Source organism: Homo sapiens, chromosome 7, assembly GCF_000001405.40.
Source record: "Homo sapiens chromosome 7, GRCh38.p14 Primary Assembly".
NCBI classification, from domain to species: Eukaryota; Metazoa; Chordata; class Mammalia; order Primates; family Hominidae; genus Homo; species Homo sapiens.
In genome coordinates, this window is record NC_000007.14 from 66,845,738 (window position 1) to 66,872,660 (window position 26,923).

At 44.3% G+C, this 26,923-nt stretch overlaps 1 pseudogene across 1 annotated transcript in view, besides 3 other annotated features; it reads left to right on the forward strand.

The window, feature by feature from the left end:
• The first annotated feature begins 1,712 nt into the window (after positions 1-1,712).
• The window catches only part of GTF2IP23 (general transcription factor IIi pseudogene 23), a 36,824-nt pseudogene continuing 11,613 nt past the window's right edge, over positions 1,713-26,923 (forward strand). Inside the window, exons 1-4 of the transcript NR_135738.1 lie at positions 1,713-1,825; positions 2,752-2,929; positions 12,340-12,398; positions 17,869-17,956. The product of NR_135738.1 is annotated as a general transcription factor IIi pseudogene 23 (transcript). The remainder of the gene's footprint in view (positions 1,826-2,751; positions 2,930-12,339; positions 12,399-17,868; positions 17,957-26,923) is intronic.
• Positions 3,181-3,682: an enhancer, noted in NCBI's record as "H3K27ac hESC enhancer chr7:66313905-66314406 (GRCh37/hg19 assembly coordinates)". NCBI's record gives its function as "activates a minimal SCP1, AML or CMV promoter by ChIP-STARR-seq in primed H9 embryonic stem cells {active_cell/tissue: H9 hESC(primed)}" and the evidence as "EXISTENCE:reporter gene assay evidence [ECO:0000049][PMID:30033119]".
• Positions 3,683-4,182: an enhancer, noted in NCBI's record as "H3K27ac hESC enhancer chr7:66314407-66314906 (GRCh37/hg19 assembly coordinates)". NCBI's record gives its function as "activates a minimal SCP1, AML or CMV promoter by ChIP-STARR-seq in primed H9 embryonic stem cells {active_cell/tissue: H9 hESC(primed)}" and the evidence as "EXISTENCE:reporter gene assay evidence [ECO:0000049][PMID:30033119]".
• Positions 14,248-14,307: an enhancer, noted in NCBI's record as "active region_26090". NCBI's record gives its function as "activates an Ori minimal core promoter by ATAC-STARR-seq in GM12878 lymphoblastoid cells {active_cell/tissue: GM12878}" and the evidence as "EXISTENCE:reporter gene assay evidence [ECO:0000049][PMID:35858748]".

A 26,923-nucleotide genomic window follows, 5' to 3' on the forward strand; every position in this document is an offset into this window, starting at 1 on the left:
GCTCAGTTCTTCCCAGGGGGATCAGCCCAGGGGTAAGCGAGGAGAGGCCAGAAAGCAGGACCCATGAGAAGGACCCCCTCCTGGAGTTTGAGGCCCATTCCTTCCTGCCCCTGCGTCTCCTCTTTCCAGGACTCCTCCCTGCTCTGCCGCACTCCTGGGGCCATGGCCATGGGGGGCTGCATTTGGGTACAGGCCCCAGCGGCAACCCTGGGCCCAAAATGGGCGGGCTCACCTGGAGGGGATCAGAGTAACATGGCAAGAAGCAGGAAAAGCCGCGCTGGAACCGCACCTCTCTGCCCCCTGATGTCAGTGGGTGCACTCTTCCCTCACCTCACTCAGGCAGCGGCATGAGTTCCATGGGAGCACTGTCCTGCTCCCTCTGCTGCCTCTTTTTAGTCTTGGGGCTACCATAACACTTTCCCTTCCCCAGCCCTGCCAACCTGGTGGCACATTGGGCTTCCCTCTTACACGGTCCTGGGGACAGGCCCGTCTTGTATCATACCTGCAGCGAGACCCTTTTTTTCTCCAGGGCCTGGGGAGCAGCCAGGCTTCCTGAGCCAAATACAGATCTGAACCATACCAAGCTGGGATTGGGGTACACACTCTCCTCCTCTGAAAACTAGCTAGGGGTTCGAACTTGGTGAGAGGGAGAGTGTGACAGAGCCAGACCAGACAAGGACTGATCACCTGGAAAAACCTGCCATCAAAGACCTTGACGAGTGCTGGGTGCGGTGGCTCACGCCTGTAATCCCAGCACTTTGGGAGGCTGAGAGAGGTGGATCACTTGAGGCCAGGAGTTCAAGTCCAGCCTGGGCAACATGGCAAAACCATTATCTCTACTAAAAAAATTAGCTAGGTATGCTACGCTCCTATAATCCCTGCTATTCGGGAGGCTGAGGCAGGAGAATCGTTTGAACTGGAGAGGTAGAGGTTGAAGTGAGCCAAGATCGTGGCACTGTACTCCAGCCTGGGAGACAGAGTGAAACTGTGTCTCAAAAAAAAGAAAAAAGAAAATGGCTTTGGCAGAGGGGCTGGCCTGGCAGTGCCTTACCTTGGGTTTCTCCTGGGTAGGCCTCTGCCATGAGGAGGCACTTCCTTCTGCCTGTCCATGGCCCACAGCAAAGGAATGTCTGCTTCTGGGGGTTGGGTGGGGGACTGCTGGCAGAACTGGAAACCTTCTTCAGGTGGGTTTTTTTTTTTTTTTTTTTTTTGAGACGGAGTCTCACTCTGTCACCCAGGCTGGAGGGCAGTGGCACAATCTCAGCTCACTGCAACCTTCACCCCCTCCCCGCCCCCCTGCCGTGTTTAAGTGATTCCCATGTCTCAGCTTCCTGAGTAGCTGAGATTGCAGGCATGCGCCACCACACCTGTCTAATTTTTGTAGAGACGGGGTTTCACCATGTTGGCCAGGCTGGTCTGGAACTCCTGATCTGAAGTGATCTGCCCACCTCGGCTTCCCAAAGTGCTGGGATTACAGGCGTGAGCCACTGCGCCTGGCCCCTTCAGGTGGGTATTGAGGCTTCACTACAATACTAGTTCCCCGTTGCTGCCGCAATAAATTACCACACACTTAGTGGCTTAAAACAGCACAGAGGTATTCCTTTACATTTCTGAAGGCCAGAATTCTAAAGTCAGTCCCACTGAGTCAACGTGGGAGCAGGGTCAGTGCCTTCCCAGGCTCTGCGGGAGAATCTGTTTCCTGGCCCTGGAGGCGGCCTGTACTCCTCAGCTTGTGCTGCCCTTCTCGAATGACTCGCGTTTCCTGCTTTCATCACTACACCTCCCACCGCTCTCCATCACCTGCTCTGCTCTTATAAGGATCCAGGTGAGTACATAAACCCTGTGGGGACAAGCTGGCCAAAGACTCTTAACTTCATTATACTTGCAAAGCCCCTTTTGCCATATAAGGTCATGTTCACCGGTTCCAGGGATTATGATGTGGGCATCTTGGGGGCATCAGCCTACTACAGCTAGGCTGCAAAACTATTACACCCTCCTGGTGTTTCAATGATTGGGAGAAAAAGGGTTGGGATTTTTTGCTTTGGGGTCCCTGTTAAACTTGTATCTGTAAGGTCTGGGGTCTCTCTTAACCTTATGTTTTTGTTTTTTCTTTTTTGAGACAGAGTCTTGTTCTGTCATCCAGGCTGGCAGTGGCGCAGTCTCAGCCCACTGCAACATCCACCTCCTGGGTTCAAGGAATTCTCCTGCCTTAGCCTCCCGAGTAGCTGAGACTACCGGCGCCTGCCACTAAGCCTGGCTAGGTTTTGTATTTTTGGTAGAGACGGGGTGGGACTGGGGGGTGGGGGAGGGGAGGGGGTTTTCCACTGTATTGCCCTTAGCTCAAAGCGGTCTGCCCAGCCTCTGCTCCTGAAATGCTAGGATTACAGGCCTGCACCACCACCACTGTAAAATATTACTTCCATACAGCTGAGACATGTTTTAGGAAGTTTGCTAAAAGACCCCTGGAGACCTCCTCATTGTGGCCTCCCTGTTGTCATGTTTAATTTGATTGATCTTTTCTGCACTCCTGCTTTTCATAAATTAAAAGGCTGAAAAGAGGTACTAAACTTTAAAACTTCTCTTATAGTCTCCCATTAAACTAATTCTAAGAACCACCAAAAAGGGGAACAATTTTTTTGAAAGCAGTAAAATGATATGATCTGTTAGGATGTAAAATACAGGAAATAAGTCATTATATGTTATTGCTGCTGTGGTATAGGGATGTATTATTGAGAATCAACTTCTGGTCAGTTTTCAGAAAAATGGAATAGTCGTATCACTGATCTACGTAAACAAGTTGAAGAATTGTCTGAAAGAAAATACAGTGTGTCTAAACTGGAAAAGTCCTGTAATAGTTTGTTCATGAGCATTTACACAATGGAGTTGCTGTTTCATCATGGGGGTACTGTGGACAAACCCAGGGCTGCTGGTGAGTCATGCCATCCTTACACGTCTTTCCTTGTAAGGTACTTTGTAGTGTCTGTCTAAATATTAGAAAGTTTCTTTGTTTCTAGATTACTTGAAAGCTAAGGAAAAGTTGTAGTTCTCTAATTATCAATTAGCATTTCTTTTATACTTTCAGTGTGGATATTTGGGATTTCTTTATATATTTATTGCAAAGCCCTAGATCTTAGGGATTTGACTGAAAAAAATATATATATATGCGTGTATATACACACGCGTATATATATACGCGCGTATATACACACGTGTGTATATACGCGTATATATATACACATGTGTATATATATATGTGTGTGTGTATATATATATATATATATATATATATATTTTTTTTTTTTTTTTTTTTTTTTTTTTTTCTTTTTGAGATGGAGTCTCGCCCTGTCACCGCGGCTGGAGTGCAGTGGCATGATCTCAGTTCACTGCAGCCTCCGTCTGCCAGGTTCAAGCAATTCTCTGCCTCAGCCTACCGAGCAGGTGGGATTACAGGCGCCTGCCACCATGCCCCACTAATTTTTGTATTTTTAGGTGAGCCAAGGTTTCACGATCTTGGCCAGGCTGGTCTTAAACTCTAGACATTGTGACCCACCCACCTCTGCCTCCCAAAGTGCTGGGATTATAGGCGTGAGCCACCGTGCCTGGCCAAATAATATTTTTTTAAACTAATTGTTTCTCTCAATCTGCTATGTTAAATTCGTTATTCGGCTGGGCGCAGTGGCTCACACCTGTAATCCCAGCACTTTGGGAGGCCGAGGCAGGCAGATCACCTGAGGTGGGAGTTCGAGACTAGCCTGACCTACTAAAAATACAAAATTATCTGGGCGTGGTGGCGCATGCCTTTAGTCCCAGCTACTTGGGAGGCTGAGGCAGGAGCATTGCTTGAACCCGGGAGGTGGAGGTTGCAGTGAGGCAAGATGGCACCACTGCACTCTAGCCTGGGCAGCAAGAGCAAAATTCTATCTGAAGAAAAAATTCGGTATTCACCAAGATGCCGCTATTGTTTCTGCCTTTGTCTTGATGCATCGCTGAGTTGACATTAGATTTCAAATTCTTCTTTTCCCTTATCCTATTCTATCCTAAAGCCACCTTTATATAATGATGAAAGAAATTAGCAATTTGTTATTATCATCTCTCTGATGGTATATAGTAAATGCTCACCTAAAAATAGCAACAACCAGTGAAAAACATCATGTGTTATGCCGTTTTTATTTGGATGACTATTTATTTTGCAATCTACTAGCAAGCTGTAGAATTGTATGACATGCAGAATTTTAACTGAAGTGATTTAAGTGAATATTTAAACGTGATAAACCATATCGATGGTGTTTATGTTAATATACTTGAACATTTTTTCTTCATCATGAGTAATATAACCTATCCCTCAATGAAAGTCTAGAATTAGAGTAAATTTACTAATGAATTAAATAAGTTTTCCATAATATTTTTAGTTATGAGCTTAAGGTTCTTTTAGTGTTTCTTCCACGTTTTAATAGTGTACGCCTTTTTTGCCTTTGTTTTTTATTGGTTCGTTTTAAAGCAAAAACCTCATAAGATGTGCTATTTGGAAGCACTGTAACCTAATGGTAACGTCTTAGGCTCTGGGGACACAGCCTGGCCACATCTCTTCTCCTTTCTGAGCCTTAATATCCTCTTTTGTGTTCATGAGAACTGAATATCCCGAAGATTTGATAAAGTAGTAAAGTGCTTCACATAATACCAGGCATATAAATACATAGTAAATGTTTCCTTCTTATGTTTTTATTGGTTGATTGATTGAGACAGAATCTCGCTCTGTTACCCAGGCTGGAGTGCAGTGGTACTATCTCGGCTCACTGCAACCTCTGCCTCCCGGGTTCAAGAAATTTTGCTGCTTCAGCCTCCAAAGTAGCTGGGATTACAGGCGTGCACCACCATGCCCAGCTAATTTTTGTATTTTTAGTAGGGACAGAGTTTTTTGTCTTGTAGGCCAGGCAGGTCTCGAACTCCTGACCTCAAGTGATCCACCTGCCTCCCAAAGTGCTGGGATTACAGGCGTGAGCCACCACACCTGGCCTATGTTTTTGTTATATTGTTAGTACTATTCTGAATAAAAATAATTTGCTATTACAGTTTTATAAATTGACTATGACCATTTTATAAATGTCAGTGCTTTTTATAAGGTGAAACAGATTATGTTGTGGGGCTTTTATTGTGATGCTGATTTATTAGATTATTTTGTTTAAAGACAATAATGTTCAGCTGTTGTGAAATTATAAAAACGATCTTCACATTTCATAATTTTAATGCAATATTAATGGTAATTACCTTAGGGAAAGATAGTTTTGTTGCGATATATAATACTGAAGTTTAGTGTACAGCAAAGGATATTAAACCTAAGTCAGCACTAATGTGTTATATGGTACACTTGAAACTTTAGTACAAATATCAATGTTTAGCAAGTAGACATTAACACAATGATAGCAAAAAAATGGAGCTGTTCTGATGGGAGACCATTGATTATGTTTGATTTTAATACTTCCCATGCTCTTGACTTTTTTTTTCTTTGAGAGAGAGTCTTGCTCTGTCACCCAGGCTGGAGTGCAGTGGCACCATCTCAGCTCACTGCAACCTCCACCTCTCAGGTTCAAGCGATCCTCTCGCCTCAGCCTCCCCAGTAGCTGGAACTACAGGCGAGTGCCACCTCGCCCTGCTAATTTTTGTATTTTTAGTAGATACGGGGTTTCACCATGTTGGCCATGCTGATCTGGAACTCCTGACCTCAGGTGATCAACCTTCCTCAGCCTCACAAAGTGCTGGGGTTACAGGCGTGAGCCACCAGGCCTGGCCAGCTCTTGACTTTTTATAGCTGTTGTATTATTTTAATCTTGAGTAAATAAATGCTTGCTGAAATGTTGCAGTTCACAAGAATCTTCTGCTTCTGTTATGTAAAAAATTATTTGTAAAAGTCCAATAAGGTTACACTAATGTTTATGTTTTGAAAATATTACCTCTTCCATTTAGTACTATATGTATTAAATAAAATTAGATGGTGATTTTTTTTGGCTTTATAATGTGGTTCAGATTTTTGTAGAAAGTCTGGCTGTGTCTACATTGCCTTAAAGCAATGGGATATTTCTCTCTTTTTTTTTTTTTTGAGCTAGAGTTTTGCTCTTATTGCCCATGGTGGAGTACAATGGTATGATCTCGGCTCACTGCAACATCTGCCTCCCAGGTTCAAGCAATTCTCCTAGCTCAGCCTCCTGAGTAGCTGTGATTACAGGCACCCACCACCACGCCCGCCTAATTTTTGTATTTTTAGTAGAGTTAGGGTTTCACCATGTTGGCCAGGCGGGTCTCAAACTCCTGACCTCAGGTGATCCTCCCGCTTTAGCCTCCCAAAGTGCTGAGATTACAGGCGTGAACCACCTCGCCCCACCAGGAATCTTTTTTAAGAAGGCTATCTACTTATGGAATTCCTTGCAAAGGAAAGGATTCATTTTGTGATTAAAAAGTAAGACTCTTGGGTTCTTGTTGGACTCCTATCTCTGTTCTTAGTAATATATCTTTGTTATTGTTGACAAATATTCATTCACCACTAGGGTTATATTTAATTGTTTGAGTTATTTTATGTTTTTTGTTGTTGTTGTTTTGAGACGGAGTCTTGCTCTGTAGCCCAGGCTGGAGGGCAGTGGCTCAATCTTGGCTCACTGCAACCTCTACCTCCCAGCTTTAAGCAATTCTCCTGCCTCAGCCTCCCGAGTAGCTGGGAGTACAGGTGCCTACCAACATGCCCAGCTGATTTTTGTATTTTTAGCAGAGACGGGGTTTTACCATTATTGGCTAGGCTGGTCTTGAACTCCTGAGCTTGTGATCCACCTGCCTCGGACTCTCAAAGTGCTGGGATTACAGACTTGAGCCACCGCGCCCGGCGTATTATATGTATTTTTATCTACCATTTTTTAATTTGTCTGGGTCCAACATTGAGTCAGTCATGCCAGTGTTAGCTTTTGAAACATGAACACTGCCCGCACCTGACTGGCATGCAACTGACATTTTCTTTCACAATTTTCTGCTACTTTTGCTAAAAATAATAGTATCCATGTCTTGCTTTTAGACCTGAGATTTTTATACCATATATGGGAATACATGATTGTTCTTCTAGATGTGTAGAGGAAGATAGTCTTGAATGCAATGTGATATTAAAGGATCCCATTTAAGATTTTTGTAATATGCTTCAAAGACCTGTAGGTTGTAAAGTAGGTCACTTGTGAGGACACATGCTCCATGAAGCACCTTATGAGACATTTTACAATTATTATTTTGTTTTGTTACTCTGTAGAAACCTCAAATGAAGGTTTAGTTGCACTCAAGCATCCAGATTGTCTTTTCTTAATTTTTTTTTTCCCTGAGATGGACTCTTGCTCTGTCACCCAGGTTGAAGTGCAGTGGCATGACCTTGGCTCACTGTAGCCTCCACCTCCTGAGTTCAAGCAATTCTCTTGCTTCAGCCTCCCGAGTAGTTGGGATTACAGGCACCTGCCACCACACACAGCTAATTTTTGTATTTTTAGTAGAGACAGTGTTTCACCATGTTGGCCAGGCTGGTCTACAACTCCTGACCTTGTGATCTGCCAGTCTCGGCCTCCCAAAGTGCTGGGATTACAGGTGAGCGATCATGCCCAGCCTGTCTTGTCTTTTCAAAACCATCCTTGGTGATTCAATGTTAAATATGTACTAGTGGATGTTACTTCGCTGAATATTGCCTAGTGAATATTAAGTAGTCTCACCTTTCAGACATGAACTTATGGATTTAAGACATGAAGATTTACAGCTTGATAAACCAGCTTCAGGAGGTAGGTCTTCAGTCTTGAGTCAGATTAGAAGATTATGTGCAGGCTGGCCGTGGTGGCTCACACCTGTGATCCCAGCACTCTGGGAGGCCGAGGTGGGTGGATCATGAGGTCGGGAGATCGAGACAATCCTGACTAACAGGATGAAACCCCATCTCTACTAAAAGTACAAAAACTTAGACGGGTATCGTAGTGGGCACCTGTAGTCCCAGCTACTCGGGAGGCTAAGGCAGGAGAATGGCATGAGCCTGGGAGGCGGAGCTTGCAGTGAGCCGAGATCCCGCCACTGCACTCCAGCCTGGGTGACAGAGTGAGACTCCATCTCAAAAAAAAAAAAAAAAAAGATTATGTGCAATAATTATTTAATGCTTGACATTGTTTTTTTAAAATGGTACCTTCCACATGAAATAATATGCTTGTAACTATTAATTATGTTCCAGGACAGGAGAATTCATGTTGTCAAAATTCTTTTTTTTTTTTTAATTTTTTTTTTTCTTTTTGAGACGGAGTTTTGCTCTTGTTGCCCAGGCTAGAGTGCAGTGGCACAATCTAGGCTCATGCAACCTCTGCCTCCTGGGTTCAAGCAATTCTCCTGCCTCAGCTTACTGAGTAGCTGAGATTACAGGCATGCGCTGCCACACCCGGATATTTTTAATAGAGTTGGGGTTTCTCCATGTTTGTCAGGCTAGTCTCATACTCCCAACCTAAGATGATCCACCCATCTCGGCCTCCCAAAGTACTGGGATTACAGGTCAGAGCTACCCCGCCCGGCCTCATTTGTTAAAATTCTAATACTCTCTAAAACAGTGAACTCATTTTCTTTTTTTAACCCATTATAAATACATGTAAATGTTGCATTTATGGGTAGACAGAACTAAAAGAACAAAATTTGGCCTACTTTTGAGATGCAAGATTTATCTGGCATAATGCATTGAACAGGTTATTATTGAAGTCTACACCAGTCACTTGAACAAGCATTCATGAAATGTCCATGATACCCAGGACACAAGAATGTTTCCTTTTAGAGTATAGAGCCATGCATATCATCTCTTAATTGTTTAGATGTGTTTCGAAAGAAATAGAAATAGAATTGGTTTTCTTACTTGTTTTGCCTCTGGAGTGAAATGGGGACAAAACAGAATGGAATCACACTGTTAAGATTTACTAAAATGGAAGGATTGCAGCAAGATCATATCCCTAGTCTCCCCATAGCAAATGGCACCTGCTAGCTGTTTTCTTTTCTTTTTTTTTTTGAGATGGAGTCTTGCTCTGTCACCCACACTGGAGTGCAGTGGCGTGATCTCAGCTCACTGCAACATCCATCTCCCAGGTTCAGGCAATTCTCCCTGGCTCAGCCTCCCAAGTAGCTGGCATCACAGGCACCTGCCAAAAGGTCTGCGTAATTTTTGCATTTGTAGTAGAGTTGGGGTTTCACCATGTTGGCCAGGCTGGTCTCAAACTCCTGACCTTAGGTGAGCCTCCCACCTTGGCCTCCCAAAGTGTTGGGATTACAGGCATGAGCCACTGCGCCTGGTCATATGTTTTTTTATAATGTTGTTTTATTTTAGGAAAGTAAATACAATGAGTAGGACTCAGCTCCATCAGCTCCACAATTCTCTTACTGTTTTTTTTTTGTTTGTTTTTTTTTTGAGATTGAGTTTTGCTCTTGTTGCCTAGGCTGGAGTACAATGCTGTGATCTCAGCTCACTGCAGCCTCTGCCTCCTGGGTTCAAGCAGTTCTCCTGCCTCAGCCTCCTGAGTAGCTGGGATTACAGGTGCCTGCCACCTTGCCTGGCTACGTTTTTATTTTTAGTAGAGACGTGGATTCACCATGTTTGCTAGTCTGGTCTCGAACTCCTGACCTCAGTTGATTCACCTTTCTTGGCCTCCCAAAGTGCTGGGATTACAGGTGTGAGTCACTGCACTTATCTGTAATGGGATATTTCACTGCAGACTTTGATGAACAGAACATTAGCATTTTTGGTGGTGTTTTTATTTTACTCATAATATTTTTCTTTGGACTCAATTACAGTAACAGAAGTAAAGATCAAATTATAAAAATTAAAGAGCAATACAGATTCAATAATTATTCTTTTCTACATATTGTGTTTAAATGATACGCTTTTTTCTTTTTGTCTTTATAGCTCAAGCTGTAAAAGCCAAAGGTCCACCCCTTTTTTCCAGTCTCAAGCTGAAGATCTTTATGTAGAAGGCCTTCCCCACAGGAATTTTTTTTTTTTTTTTTTTTTTGTGACAGAGTTTTTACTCTTGTCGCCTAGGCTGGAGTGCAATGGCATGATCTAGGCTGCAGTACAATGCTGTGATCTCAGCTCACTGCAGCCTCTGCCTCCTGGGTTCAAGCGATTCTCTTGCCTCAGTCTCCTGAGTACCTGGGATTACAGGCGCCCGCCACTACACCAGGCTAATTTTGTATTTTTAATAGAGATGGGGTTTCACCATGTTGGCCAGGCTGGTCTGGAACTGCTGAACTCAGGTGATCCTCCTGCTTCAGCCTCCCAGAGTGCTGGGATTACAGGCATGAACCACTACGCTAGGCCAGGAATTTTTGTTGTTGTTGTTTTTGTTTTTGTTTTTGAGACACAGTCTTGCTCTGTGCCCAGACTGGAGTGCAGTGGAGCAATCTCGGCTCACTGCAACCTCCGCCTCTTGGATTCAAGTGATTCACTTGCCTCAGTCTCCTGAGTAGCTGGGACTACAGGCGCAAGTCACCATGCCTGGTTAATTTTTTTGTATTTTTAGTAGAGATGGGGTTTCTTTTTTTTGAGACGGAGTCTCGCTCTGTTGCCCAGGCTGGAGTGCAGTGGCACGATCTCGGCTCACTGCAAGCTCCGCTTCCCGGGTTCACGCCATTCTCCTGCCTCAGCCTCCCAAGTAGCTGGGACGATAGGCGCCCGCCACCACACCCGGCTAATTTTTTGTACTTTTAGTAGACATGGGGTTTCACCGTGTTAGCCAGGATGGTCTCGATCTCTTGACCTCGTGATCCACCTGCCTCAGCCTCCCAAAGTGCTGGGATTACAGGTGTGAGCCACCGTGCCTGGCCAAGACAGGGTTTCACTATGTTAGCCAGGCTTGTCTGGTAATCCTGACTTCATCATCCACCCGCCTTGGCCTCCCAAATTGCTGGGATTCAGGCATGAGCCACTTTGCCCCACCAGAAATTTTTTTAGGAAGGCTATCCACTTACAGAATTCCTGGCTTTGAGAGGATATTACTTGCAATGGAAAGGATTTGTTTTGTGATTAAAAAGTAAGACTCCTGGATTCTTATTTGACTCTTATCTCTCTTGTGAGTAATACATCTTTTTTATTGTTGACAAATATTTACCACTACGGTTATATTTACTTAAGTTTGACTTATATTATGGGGTTTTTTTTTTTTTTGATGGAGTTTCTCTCTGGTTGCCCAGGCTAAAGTGCAATGGTGTGATCTCGGCTCACTGCAACCTCTGCCTCCCAGGTTCAAGTGATTCTGCCTCAGCCTCCTGAGTAGCTGGGATTACAGGCATGTCCCACCAAGCCCAGGTAATTTTGTATTTTTACTAGAGACAGGGTTTCTCCATGTTGGTCAGGTCTCAAACTCCTGACCTCAGGTGATCCACCTACCTCAGCCTCCCAATGTGCTGGGATTACAGATGTGAGCCACTGCACCCGGCCTATTTTAAGTATTTTTATCTTCCACTTTTTAATATATCTGGGTCCAACATTGAGTCAGTCGTGCCAGTGTTAGCTTTTGAAACATGAACACTGCCCACACCTGACTAGCATGCAACTGACATTTTCTTTCACAGTTTTCTGCTACTTTTGCTAAAGAAAATAGTATCCGTGTCTTGTTTTTAGGCCTGAGATTTTTGTGGCATATGTGGGAATATATGATTGTTTTTCTAGTTGTGTAGAGGAAGATAGTCTTGAATGCAATGTGATATTAAAGGATCCCATTTAAGATTTTTGTAATATGCTTCAAAGACCTGTGGGTTGCAGAGTTACCACTTTACTTGTGAGAACACATGCTCCATGAAGCAGCTTATGAGACAATTTACAATATTATTTTGTTTCGTTACTCTGTAGAAACCTCAAATGAAGATTTAGTTGTGCTCAATCATCCAGATTGTCTTTTCTTAATTTTTTTTTTTTCCAAGATGGAGTCTCTTTCTATTACCCAGGCTGGAGTGCAGTGGCATGATTTCGACTCACTGCAACTTCCACCTCCTGGGTTCGGGCAATTATCCTGTCTCAGCCTCCTGAGTAGCTGGGATTACAGGCACCTACCACCACGCCCAGCTGAGTTTTGTGATTTTAGTACAGATGGGGTGCCACCATGTTGGCCAGGCTTGTCTCAAACTGCTGACCTCGTGATCTGCCTGCCTCTGCCTTCCAAAGTGTTGGGATTTCAGGCATAAGCCACCATGCCCAGCCTGCCTTGTCTTTTCAAAACCACCCTTGGTGATTAAATGTGAAATATGTACTAGTGGATATTACTTTGCTGAATATTGCCTAGTGAATATTAAGTATTTATTCTTACCTTTCAGACATGAACTTATGAATTCAACACATGAAGATTTACAGCTTGACAAACCAGCTTCAGGAGGTAGGCATTCAGTCTTAAGTCAGATTAAAAGATTATGTGCAATAATTACCTAATGCTTAACATTTTTTAATGATGCCTTCCATATTAAATAATATGCCTCTAACAATTATGTGCTAGGACAGGAGAATTCATATTTTCAAAATTCTAATACTCTCTAGAACAGTAAACTCATTTTCTTTTTATTAACCCATTATAAATACATGTAAATATTGCATTTATGGGTAGACAGAACTAAAAGAACAATGTTTGTCCTACTTTTGAGATGCAAGATTTTATCTGGCATAATGCATTGAACGGGTTATTATTGAAGTCTACACCAGTCACCTGAACAAACATTCATCAAATGTCTATGATACCCAGGACATAAGTTTTTCTTTTATAGTATGGAGCTGTGCATATCATCTCTTATTGTTAGATGTGTTTTGAAAGAAATAGAAATAGAATTGATTTTCTTACTAGTTTTGGCTCTGGAGTGGAGTGGGGACAAAACAGAATGGAATTACACTCTTTAGATTTACTAAAATGGAAGGATTGCAGCAAGATCATATCCCTAGTCTCCCCATAGCAAATGGCACCTTCTGTTTTTTTGTTTGTTTGTTTGTTTGTTTTTGAGATGGAGTCTTGCTCTGTCACCCACACTGGAGTGCACTGGCATCATCTCAGCTCACTGCAACCTCTTTCTCCCAGGTTCGAGCAATTCTCCCTGGCTCAGCCTCCCAAGTAGCTGGGATTACAGGCAGCTGCCACCAGGCCTGCCTAATTTTTGTATTTTTAGTAGAGATGGGGTTTCACCACGTTGGTCAGGCTAGTCTCGAACTCCTGATCTCAGGTGATCCACCTGCCTCGACCCACTGAAGTGGTGGGATTATAGTCGTGAGCTGCCATGCCCGGCCGTCTTACTGTTTTTAATGTGCACTCATTATTAAAGTTTTAGTCATAACAGGAGAGAGAGTCAGGTAATGGAAACCCATATGCTTTTTACTGAGTACATTTTTCTGTACAGTCAAGGGTTTTATGCACGAAGAGTGAGACTGTTGGGAATCCTTTTTATTGGGCTGTACTTGTGCCTGGGTGCCGCTCTGCGGTAACAGAGAGAGCTTTGACAGCAGCCACCACTGCATTTGAAGATGAAGCCTCAGCGAAGCTCTCTTTTCTGTCTTGCTCCTTAGACACTTCATCAACACCTCAAATACTTAGTTTTGATATTTCCTACAACATCTTTTGCCTCCCAAAGTCACTGTCTGCCCCACTTTTATTCTGCTTCTCAGCAGAATTCTAGGTTGTTGTCACCTGCTCCCCAATACTCTTTTAAAAACTATTTTTATGGAAATTTTCAAACCTTGTGGGCTCTTGCTTGGCTCCTCCCTGTCTCATTTTCAGTCTCTTGAGGCCCCTGCCCTTATCCTCTCTACACTGGGGAGTGCCAGCCAGCAGCTTCACCCTGAGCCCTCTTTCTTTTTTCTTACTGTGTCTTCTTTACAGACAATCCCACCCTGCCCACTTCTTAAAAATATTATATTGTCTGTGTCATTGAGACTCTCATTTCTGGCCCTGAAGATGCCCCTCGTACTAGACCTTTGTATTTGCCTACCTGTTTGATTCCTCCTCAGACCTCATGTGTCCCAGGCAGAGTCTCCATTCCCCTTTTCAGGAGCTCCTCTCAGGGTCTACCAGCTGCCCAAGCCAGATGCCCAGGAGTTACGCTGAGGTGTGATTTCCTGCCTTCCCACATCCAGCCTAGCAAGGCCTCCTGACTCCGCCCTGAACAGAAAGCTCAGATCCTACCCCATCCTCCTTCACTGCCCTCCAGCTCTCAGTGGGAGTCATGCCACAGCGCAGCCAGGTCAGTTCATTGAAAGTAGGAGGTGGAGCCTGTCATTCTCTGGACTGTCATCTGTAGTGGCTTTCACTATACTTGGAGTAAACCTCACAGCCCCTGATGGGTTCTGCAGGGGCGTGGGGGAGCTGCTTCCTGCCATTTCTCTGCTTTCCTGCATCCCCTCTGTGGATCACTTGCTCTGTGCCAGCCACCATGGTCATTTGTGTGCCTTTCTTCCTCTCAGGTCACAGCCTCCTGGCGCTGTCGGGCTGAGGCCTGGTGTTTGTGGAATGCTCTTACTTGAGGGCTTTCTGTGCCTCTCATTTCTATTTGTGTCACAGTTTAAATGTCACCATGTTGGAGAGGTCTTCACTGAGCACCGTCTCACCTCAGCTGTGAGGCTCACTGACTCATCCTCCTTTCATTTTTCACAAAGCCCTGCTGGCTGACTTTTTCCTCCCACTGTAGTACAGTAGTGCTGACAGCGCAGATCATGCCTGTCCTGTTTACTTCTCAAGCAGGTGCTCAACAAATACTCACAGAGTGAATCCATGGCAATAAACTGTTCTCTAAGCTGGCAGAAATGTCTGTGGCTTTTGGCCATGTAGCATGCATTGTGACACTTAAGGGCGCAGGAGGGACTGCAGGCACCACATCTGGAAGGGCCGCAAGCTGTCCTGAGCAAGGAAGGCTGCAGTGGGGATCCATGTTCCCATGACCCTGGGGCCCTCATCTTCTCCTGAAACAGACCCTTTGAGTTTTAGTGCACAGAAGCCAAGTCTCCTGGGTTAGGAGTCCTGCCCTCCCTATGGATTTGAAGCGGGGTGCATGGCACTCACTGAGTCTTCAGAGACCAGCTTCTAGGTGCTACTCAGTTGGCAACTACAAACTTAGGTCACTAATTGTATGTTATTTGCAGAATTTGTGTACTTAGTTTTTGAACTACTTATCCTATTTTACGTCTCTAAGAACTTAATGTATTGAACAAAGTCAAAATGTTAAGTTTCTTCTCATCAGCATTTTTTGTGATATTTTATCTCTCCTTATATCTGACTGTAAATCAGCCAGTGATCCATAAACTAAATAATCTTTCCCACTCTTTAAGTCATTATGTTTCCAAGTGATGTAATAAAATAGATCAGGTGGTGAAAATTGTTTATCATTAGCGATGCCACCATAATGTTACTAAGATTCATGACACCTGAGAAGGAGGATGTCACTAGGAGATGACGCCTGAGAAGGAGGATCTGCATGAGAGGCCCCACCTCTGCCCTCCTGTGTTTTTTGGAAATTGAGCATGGTAAAAGAATCAGCTAAACTTGACCGGGCACAATGGCTCATGCCTGGAATTCCAGCACTTTGAGAGGCTGAGGCAGGAAGATGGCTTCAGGCCAGGAGTTTGAGACCAGCCTGGGCAACAGAGTGAGACCCCATTTCTGCAAAAAAATTTAGCAATTAGCCAGGTATGGTGGCATGTACCTGTAGTCTCAGCTACTTAGGAGGCTGAGGTAGGAGGATTGCCTGAGCCCAGGAGGTTGAGGCTACTACACTTTACCCAGGGGCATCGACAATGACCCTGCGATGTGTGGAAAATCCCAAAGGTTGACCACTGTGAATAGGAACTACCCTAGATGTGTCAGGAGCACCGCAGGCATACTCACTCCTCTGTTTGCTGGAGCCGTGTAGGGTGGAAGGAAACCCAAATCAAGACCATTTGCTGCTTCAGTTCTTTTATTGCATGTGACAGTCCAATATATCTCCATTTAAATTCAGATTTTTTGATGAATGGTCAGACCAGCTGCAGGCCCTTTGGGCCAGAAGTCTTGATCTTGCCAACTGTTCATTTTCCTGAGGGGACTGCCTTACTTCAGGCATTTGTGTGTAGCCGGTCTATTGTGGAGTTCAGAGGGGTGTAGAGCCCTCTCTTTTTGGGACAGTCAGTTCTCCCCATGCAGCATGTCCTGAAGCTGGCCTGTCTCTATCCTGTTTGTAAGTGTGTGAGGTCTTTTATTAAGCAGGGTAAAGTGAGAGAGGACTCCTAAAGAGAGAAAAACTCCTCCAGCATTTGCTGAAACATGTTTGTGAACTGATTAAGATGTGATTGGGATGGCATGAAAACAACTAAAATTTATCTAATTTCTTGCCATCTGGTTTGTGATATATGGTGCCCCAAATTGAGTTTAGAAGGAACTTTGATCATAGGTCAAGAAGGTGTTATATATATATATATATGTGTATATATATGTGTGTGTATATATATGTGTGTGTATATGTGTGCATGTGTGTATATATGTATACACACACATATATACGCACACATATACACACACACACACACACACACATATATATATATTTTTTGAGACGGAGTTTTGTTGTCACCCAGGCTGGAGTGCAGTAGTGTGATCTTGGTTCACTGGAACCTCTGCCTCCTGAGTTCAAGTGATTCTCCTGATTCACTTGAACTTCAACGATTCTCCTGCCTCAGCCTCCCAAGTAGCTGGGATCATAGGCGCCTACCACCACGCCAGGCTAATTTTTGCATTTTTAGTAGAGACAGGGTTTCACCATGTTGGCCGTGCTGGTCTCGAACTCCTGACCTAAGGTGATCTGCCCGCCTTGGCCTCCCACAGTGGTGGGATTACAGGCATGAGCCACTGCGCCCAGCCGAAGGTGTCATATTTAATTCTCCCTGTGGCTTGTCTTACAATAGCAATCATGCATGAAGCCCATGGGTTTGCTGCATCTAGGTTTACTCAAGCAAAGGCTCTGGACTTTCTTAGTTTACACTGATGTGTTCTAGTTTGCATCTGAAATGTACTCTGAGGATGCTGACTTCCAGATAGCCATTTTTAGGTCAAGGATAGTTCAGGTCTCTGAGTATAGTAGCCATACCTCCCAGAGAGCTTCCTTTTGGTTTGGTTACAAAATTTATTTTAGCTTAGTTTTCTTACATTAGGTGGGCAAAATAAGAAAGAGCAGAAGGCCAGATGTGGTGGCTCATGCCTGTAATCCCTTTGGGAGGCTGAGTCAGGTGGATCACCTGAGGTCAGGAGTTCATACCAGTCTGGCCAACATGTAGAAACCCCATCTCTACTAAAAATGCAAAAATCATCTGGGTGTGGTGATGTGTACCTGTAATCCCAACTACTTGGGAGGCTGAGGCATGAGAATCGCTTGAACCCAGGAGGTGGAGGTTGCAGTGAGCCGAGATTGCATCACTACACTCTAGCCTGGGGGATAGAGCAAGACTCTGTCTCCAAAAACAAACAAAACAAAACAAAAAAACAAAAGTTTAGGGACACTCAACAAAACTATAAGGCCTAGAATTGGAAACTGGGAATTACTGTTTGTAGATGATTTCTTTTCAAGATGGGCTAGTGGAGTTTCTGAGCAGCAGCTACGTTCTCCTTTCACGTCTTCAGGTTTTATAAGGTTACCTTTTGCCCTCTGAGTGATCATATCTGCCTCACAGTCACTCATGGGAGCCCTTGATCTTGACAAAATGGACCTTGAGTAGCTGAGTTCAAAGAACTGAGGTGGCAAGAGGGGATCTCCTTCTTGGTTCTTATATATTTTTTTAAATGAAAGAGCTAGAGAAGCAATCTTAAGGTCAGGATAACTCACCCTGATGTTCTTCTCACTTGTCAGGGATTGTGCTGCATTCGAACATAGGTTCTGCCATCAAACACAGAATGCCCTGATCCTTAGAGGCAGAGGCAGCTCTTCAGCCTATGGGGTAAGTAACCAGGGAATGGAATTCTCACCAACTCTTGTTAGACAATAAGTTTTACTTTAAGATTTGGGCCTACTTTTTTTTTTTTGAAATGAAGTTTCACTCTTGTTGCCCAGGCTGGAGTGCAGTGGCACTACCTCGGCTCACTGTAACCTCCGCCTACCGGGTTCAAGCAATTCTACCTCAACTTCCCAAGTAGCTGAGATTACAGGCATGCATCACCATGTCTGGCTATTTTTAAAAATTTTTTAGTAGAGATGATGTTTCACCATGTTGGCCAGGCTGGTCTCCAACTCCTGACCTTGGGTGATCCACCCGCCTCGGCCTCCCAAAGTGCTGGGATTACAGGCATGAGCCATTGGGCCCGGCCTAGGCCTGCTTCTTTCTTTCTCTCTTTCTTTCTCTTTTTTTTTTTTTTTCTAGTAGCAGTTTAAAGTTGGTGCCTCATTTAGACACAAGCAAAAGGATATTAGCCCAGCTTTGGAAATAGGTGTGAGCCCACACATGATTTTCCTAGTTTTTCCTCTCCCTTCACTTTTTGCTCTCTTGGTAGTATGTTAATTGTATTCTCTCTCTGAATCTTTTTTCCCCATTTCTTTGGCATACATTTTCACTTGTCTTGGTTGAGTAGGTGAAGAGCTGTTTTTCGGACTCTTTGGAAGGATGGATGATAGTCTTGGCTAATGGTAACCAGTTCCAGGGAGCTAGGGTCAGCGTGAGCTGGAATGAGTTCAAATTAGAAAGCACTGGCACTCAGTGGCAGGACTATAAGTGACCGCAAAGTGTTAAACACATCTTGAAAGGGATAGTGACATCATTCTCAGAATCTGTTGGGAATACACATATCCTGTAGTCTCATTCCTGTTTGAGTCTATAAAGACATTTTAAAGAGTAATACCCTGAGTGGTTTTCTGGCCAGCTTGCCTGCTCATTTATCTTTGAGGACAGCATCCCTCGTGGAGCTCCGCAGGCCCCAGGGGTGTATGGATTCTACATTGGAAAATGCTGATGCTGAGAGACTGGGTCTTGGCGGACCTCAAGGAGTCTGCTTTTCCTCTACTTATTTTCCTTACTTTTCCTGGCAGCTGGCATTGCTGTTTAAATGGGTTGTTCTTTGCTGTTTAAGTTGTTTGGTAGTGATGTGTCAGGATGCAGGTTTTCTGAATACTTTTTCAGCTGGTTACTTGAGTGGTGGTTAGGGAGGAGCTGTCTTGGGGCTGTTCTGGAGCTGTTGAGGTCGGGTGTCTGTCTGGATACTCACAGCCTATCTGTTGAGGAGAATGCAGTTCTCATTGTGCTGCCTTTGGTGGTGCTGTGTGTGGCTTTTTAGATGTGGGTGGAGGTGAGTTGGGGGAGTTAATGAGATCTTTTTTAGGTGCTTTTGATAAAGTAGTCTGCACTAGAGGATTCATTGTGACTTTTTCCCTTAACCTGCACATACTTCTCTGCTCACCCTTGCTGTCTTTCTCATGTCTTTGATTTTCCAATCTCCTCTTGGTTGAATTTACATAAAGGCTCTGCTATGGTTTAAATGTGTCCCCCAAAGTTTATGTGCTGGAAACTCAATCCTCAATGCAACAGTTGAGATGTGGGGCCTAATAAGACAGCCCTCATGAATGAATTAAAGTTGTTATTGTGGTAATAGATTAGTAACACAAGAGTGGGCTTATTGTAAAAGAGAGTTCAGCCCCTCTTGCCCTCTTGCTTTCTCGCACTCTCTTGTCCTTCTGCCTTCTGCCATGGGAAGATGCAGCAAAAAGACCCTCACCAGATGCAGGCCCCTCAAACTTGGACTTCCTAGCCTCCAGAACTGTAAGAAATATATTTTTTCTCTTCCATTCCCCTTCCCTTCCCTTTCCCTTCCCTTTTTCTTCCCTTCCCCTTCTCTTCCCCTTCCCCTACCCTGCCCTTCCCCTTCCCCTTCCTTTTCCCCTTTTCTTCCCTTCACCTTCTCTTCCCCTTCCCCTTCCCTTCCTCTTCCCTTCCCTTCCCTTTCCCTTTTCTTTCCCTTCCCTTTTTCTTCCCCTTCCCTTCCTTTCCCCTTCCCTTCTCTTCCCTTTTTTCCCTTCCCTTCCTGTTCTCCTTCCCTTCCCCTTCCTTTTGCCCCTCCCTTCTTTTTCTCTTCCCCTTCCCATCCCCTTCCCTTTTCCTTTTTCCCTTCCCTTTCCCTCCCTCCCTTCCTCCCTCCCTCCCTCCCTTCCCCTCCCTCCCTCCCTTTACCTCCTCCCTTCCCTCCCCTCACTTTCCCTCCCCTCCCTTCCCCTCCCCTCCTCTCCCCTCCCTTCCCCTCCCCTCCTCTCCCCTCCCTTCCAAGTTATGCAGTGTGTGGCATTCTTTTATAGTAGCATGAAATGGACAAAGACAGGCTCCATTTTCAAGAGCAAGCCCTTTTGTAGTTTCCAAGCCAATTATGACTGCACAGGAAGTTCTATAGATCGATCGCCTCAGATCCACCACCTAGGAAACCTGCTACCAAGCAGACCTAGGATGTAGAATTCTAGATGAACTGCTGGGCAACATGATACCACTGCAATTTAGTACCTCCCTATATACCTCCAGTTGGCTCAGCCCATCAGGGCTAAAACTACCCCTCATATCTTAGTGTCTCTTGTAGGCAGAAACCTTGCCTAAACCCTAAGCTGCTTAGCTCACATTCTGTCTTGTGCTTTTTTTGGAGGGGGTTCGAATATACCCAAAAGAAATAAATGAACCTCCATGTACCCAACCCCCAGATTAAGCAGTTGTCTCCATTTTGCCAGACTTGTTTCATCTGTTTCAGTCTCCCTAAACATTTATGTTTGTACAGGAAAAACTGGATAAATACCTAATTCTCCACCCCACCTCCCATTTTAAGTCACTTTTCAAAATAATGAGTCAGTGACCTGGTAACTTATACACTTTAGTGACCAATAGTTTTTTTTTTTCTAAATATCGTCATGAACTCATAGATTATTGTTTGCATTTGATGTATTTCAGGCCATTGCAGTCATTATTTATTAATTGTTTTGGATGCTTACTGCTTACATTGTCTTATCTAGGTTAATAATTATCCCTTCAAGTTGACTCTCATGTCTTCTTGATATGATCCTGTTGGACTTTGTTGGCTTCCTTGCTTTCTGACAAAAAAGATGTTCCAGGATCTGTATACTGCACTATGCATGGAGTCAGCCATTTCTCTAGGGGGCCTTGATTCCTTTTAGTAGAGAACACAGTTTGGGCTCTTGGACTGAATCACTTTTGTGAACCTCCTCGCCTGCATCCCTTCTTACAGCCAGTATGCTCTTGCTGGGCATCAGCAGATCTCCTAAAAGTGCCAAGTAGTTCTGCCTCACTCTTACAAAGACTCATCTCCTGAGAGTTTTGTGCTCTACCCCAGATGCGGTCTTTCTAGTTCTGAAGCTTTTGCTCCAGTCACCCTGAATTTTGCCAGCCCTATGCATGTCGTACCTTGGATTGCCACCCCACCCTCACTGGAGCCAATTTCTCCGGTTAGAATAGTTGCCCCTATTCTAATACTCTAATAAACAAGTTACCTTGTAGAGTATTAGTTGCCTAATACTTCAGTAAACAAGGTTCTACCTGGGCTTAGTTAACTTTTGCTCCTTTGGGCCCTGTGTTCTACCAGCATTCCATTTATCTGAAACCCTCCCTCACCTCCTCAAGATCTTAATCTGTTCTTTAATGATTTACTGCTGCTTCCTGGGTTCTAAAGAACCCAGTTCAGAAGTTCCTGTTTTAGTTTGAGATCTTATAGGCCTGTCCATCAGGTTGCTATCATCCCAGCTAGGATTAGGCAGAATTGGGTGGGGGTTGTAGTGCATTTTTTGGCACAGCATGTACCTGGCTGACTAATTCTCTGTCTTTTCTTTCCTATTGTAATTCATGGGTCTCAGCATTTTCTGAATGCTGTTTAGCAGGTCATCCTGTTGATTTCCTGCTAGGGAGGAGCATACTCTGGCTCTGTACCATTGATTGGCAAAGGGACTTAAGGATAGATGATGGGCAGCAGTTTTGTTAAATGGAACAATATGAAGAGATGGCATTATAAAAAAGGCTGGGCAGCAGGGCCCATTTGAATGGTTGGTCCTTGGCTCCCATGTTGATACAGGCGGATCCTTGATGGGAATTTGGAATGATCCCAAATATTGTAGATCACTGGTGCATCAAGTCATCGTCAGGGTTGTCTGTGTAACAATCTTGAGTGAAGTTTTGTGAATCTCTGGAGATTCTCTGTATAGGGTTTAATCATTTAATTATTCTAGTTGAACCTGTTTAGTTTCTTTGCAAGGAGATAAGAAATGTGAAAGAGATGTAGACACTAGGGAAAAAGCCAGGAGCCTTGTTTCCCACCCACTTCTTGGGTTCTGGAACTGGGCTTATAGTTGAGTAGTGAGGAGTGGGCTCAAGTGCATTAATCCTGGATCTAGCTCTGCTTTGTGCTCACTCCAGTTCTTGTGTCAAATTCACTTCAAGCCACTCAGAGTAGTATGTAGAGGGGTCATTCAGGACTGTGCTTATACTTCATTATATCAAACGGGAGATCCAGTAATTTATAGCCTATTATTTCTGGAGTCTGGAGATGGCTCCACATAAGCTTTGTGGAAGCAGATTTTATTACATTAGAAGAGAACCTGGCTGGCTGCATTCAACACTGGTAGCTTTTAGATGCTAATAAGAAGGTCATGTAATAAAGGTCACAGAGTGACTCTGGAACCCATTTCCCCAACCCAAGAAAGAATAACGACATTCTAGGTTGGCCTCTTTTCATTTCCCTTTGATTTTGAGTAATAACTTCCCTCCTTACTTCCCAGCTGAACAATTTGGGAGTCTGTATTCCCTAGAAAGACTCTGTTCACATACCCATCAGATTAAATTAGGTGAGAACTCTTTGGCCTTAATGAATGTTGAAGGATTTCAAAGGGCTAATGGAAATTCTTCCAAAAGTAGCAATTCCCATTCTATTGGTGAGACCATTCTGAAGAAATTTCCTGAATCTCTTAGATTATTTTATACAGCAAAACAGTCAGCATTGTGTTCTCTTTGCTAATAGATGACAAGGAGAATGTAGACACTTGGAATCTATGGAGAATCCCTAAGTTGCATTTTAGGCTGCATGTTAGGTCTCCTTTCCTAACCCTTTTACAAGTCGATCAGTGTGAAACAGCATGATAGATTTGCATGACTTCTCTCCCTGCCTCCTCCCTCCATTCTTTTTTTTTTTTTTTTTTTTGAGACAGAGTCTCGTTCTGTCACCCAGGCTGGAGTGCATGGCGCGATCTCGGCTCACTGCAACCTCTGCCTCCCGGGTTCACGCCATTCTCCTGGCTCAGCCTCCACAGTAGCTGGGACTACAGGCGCCCGCCACCACGCCCAGCTAATTTTTTATATTTTTAGTAGAGACGATGTTTCACGATGTTTGACTGTGTTAGCCAGGATGGTCTCGATCTCCTGACCTCGTGATCCACCCACCTGGGCCTCCCCAAGTGCTGGGATTACAGGTGTGAGCCACCGCGCCCGGCCCCTCCATTCTTATGGAAAGTAGTGAGTGACTGCCTGCCAGGTAAAATCTTGGTGACAAAATCCAAAGTCAGATTCAGAGTTATAAACATAGCCCCCACCCAAGTAACTTCCAAAGAAAAGAAAGAGGCTGGGTGTGGTGGCTCACACCTGTAATCCCAGCACTTTGGGAGGCTGAGGCAGGTGGATCACGAGGTCGGGAGTTCGAGACCAGCCTTGCCAGCATGGTGAAACCCCATCTGTACTAAAAATACAAAAATTAGCCAGATGTGGTGGTGCTTGCCTATAATCCCAGCTACTCGGGAGGCTGAGGCAGGAGAATTGCTTGAATCCAGGAGGTGGAGGTTTCAGTGAGTGGAGATCATGCCACTGTACTCCAGCCTGGGCAACAGAGCAAGACTGTGCCTCGGTGGGGGGAAAAAAAAAAAAGGAAAGAGTTGTGCAAAATCTTGCTTCATTGCTTTTAAATTGGGTACTTACTGAGTTACTGCATTAGATTTGTGCATTGTGCTAGTTGTTGTACTAATGTTGATTGATTTCATTCTCCATTTATGGAACACCAACAGTGTTCCTGGTACTGTGCTGACCACTTGAGATAAAAAGATAAATAGGAGTTGGTCCTTGCCACTTAGAGCTCACAGTCTACTACTGGGAGAGTGTGGGAAGGTGCGATAAGAACTGTAGTGATCTTGCCACATAATTTGCATTTGTATCTTAAAGCCAGTGGGGAGTCATGGAAATACTTTAAGCAGGAGAGTGACATGATTCAATGATTCATTTGTATTTTATTTTTTCTTTTGAGATGGAGTCTCGCTGTGTCACCCAGGCTCCCAGGCTGGAGTGCAGTGACAGGATCTCAGCTTACTGTAAACTCTGCCTTCCGAGTTCAAGTGATTCTCCTGTCTCAGCCTCCTGAGTATCTGGGATTACAGGCATGCACCACCACACCTAGCTAATTTTTGTATTTTTGGTAGAGATGAGGATTCACCATGCTGGCCAGGCTGGTCTTGAACTCCTGATGTCAGGTGATCCATCCACCTCGGCCTCCCAGAGTGTTGGGATTACAGGCATGAGTCACTGTTACTAGCCCACTTTTTCTAGTTTTTGAGACAGAGTCTTGTTCTGTTGCCCAGGCTTGAATGCAGTGGTGCGATCATAGCTCATTGTAACCTCAGACTCCTGGGCTCAGTGATCCTCTTGCCTCAGCCACTCAAGTAGTAGGGTCTATAGGTGTGCACCACCATACAGTACAATTTTTTTTTTTTTGAGTCAGGGTCTCCCTCTATCCCAGGCTGGGGTGCAGTGGTGTGATCATGGCTCACTGCAGCCTCCTGGGTTCACGTGATCCTCTCACTTCAGTCTCCCAAGGTGCTGTGATTACAGGCGTGAGCCACCGTATTTGGCCCCATTTGTATTTTTGAAAGATCACTAGTGGTAGTGAGGATACCAGTGAGTTGGAGGGAGTGAGACTAGAGGCAATAACAGTTTAGATAACAGATATTTTTTGAGCCCCTGCTAAGTGCCAGGCACAGATCTAGGTGCTGGGAACTTAGGGGAGAATGAGTAAGACAGTCTCTGTTCTCGGGGAGCTTCTGTTCTAGTGGTGGTATGCTGGTGGGGAAGCAGACTATATACATGCCACAAATTATATTTTTTCAGATGGTGATAAGTAATTTGATGAAAATAAATAGAGCTATGGGAGTTAGAATGTTTGAGCATTGGGATGGGTACTGACCTATTGGGGTGGGCAGTGAAGACCTCTCTGAGGAGGTGACATTTGAGGTGAGGCAGCTCAAAGAAGATCTGGGCAAGAGTGGTTTGTGATGGGTAGGACATCAAGTGCAGAGACCTGAGATGTGAACGGACTTGGCACGGTGTTTAAGCACCATAAAGATGGTCAGGGTGGCTGGAGCATAGTGGAGCCTGGAGGAGCAAGTAATACTCAGATGAGGATGGAGCACCTTCTAGGCCATGGAAAGGATTCTGGATTAATTCCAATGGAGTAAGAAGCATTGTGATTAAATCAGGTGTTGGCAAACTGCGGCCTATGGGTCAAATCTGGCCTGGTGCCTATTTTTATGACTAAACCACATTGGAACACAGTATCACCCGTGGATGTACATATTGTCCATGGCTGTTTTTAATGTTACAAGAGCAGACTTGAGTAGTTTCAACAGAGCACATATGGCCCAGAAGCCTAAAATATTTACTATCTGGTTTGTATAGAAAAAGTGTACTGACCCCTGAATTAAATGATCTAATTTAAATTTTGAGGAGGTATGGTTTAGGGAATGAATGATAAGAGACATGGCTCACGCCTGTAATCCTAACACTTTGGGAGGGTGAGGTGGGTGGATCACGAGGTCAGCAGTTCGAGACCAGCCTGGCCACCATGGTGAAATCCCGTCTTTACTAAAAATACAAAAATTAACCAGGTGTGGTGGTGCGTAGCTGTAATCCCAGCTACTTGGGAGGCTGAGGCAGGAGAATGGCATGAACCTGGGAGGCGGAAGTTGCAGTGAGCTGAGATGACGCCACTGTACTCCAGCCTGGGCAACAGAGCAACACTCCATCTCAGGAAAAAAAAAAGAAAGAAAGAAAGAAAAAAATAAGTAATTGTTGAGCCACCAGAAAACAAAGATCACACTGTTTTTATTCTGTTTAAAAACAGAATAAATGCTTTATACTCGTTAAATACTGTTGAATGAGTGATGAGATGCTGAATAGGGAGTGCCAGTGAATATGAAAGGGAAGTGAGGTTTTGAGAGATATTTAGGAGATAAAATATCAGGACAGCTTATTGTTGACACGGTGAATAGAAATAGTAGTAGGGCAGAAGGAGGACTGTAGGATGCCCTTCAGGTTTCTGGTTCACGTATCTTAGGTGCATGGCAGTGCCATTTATTGAGACAGGGAAAGTGGAGATACAGAGAACACACGTTGCCAGAGAGAAGGAATTCACCTTTGGACACACGATGCTCAGGACATCCAGGTAGAGATGTCTAAAAGGTAGTTGGAAAGACAGAGCTGAGCGGCATCATATCCAGAATCATGGTCACCAGAATTCCAGAGTCATCAGCTAGTGTGGGCTCTCCTAAAAAGCGTGTATGGTGAGGAGGGCAGGGATAGGTCTCATGTGGCATTCATTTCCAATACATTTTGGCTCTAGAGAGGAGGCAAAGATAAACTAGCTGTATGGACAGTTTGCATCAGTCAGTCAGGTCATCCCATGACCATGGAATGTTTTTTCTGCAGAAGCTGATGGTCTCAAATGAAGGCTTGCCTTACCTGTTCCTCTGGCTGCCAACCTCTTTCTCTTAGTTGGGTTGACTGGGGCAGACGTGGAGGCTTCTTCCCTCCTAGACTCCCAGCTAACATTGGAACATTTGTGGCCTTTTAACTCTGTAGGTGACTCAAATTTGCATTTATCTTTTTATTTTATTTTATTTATTT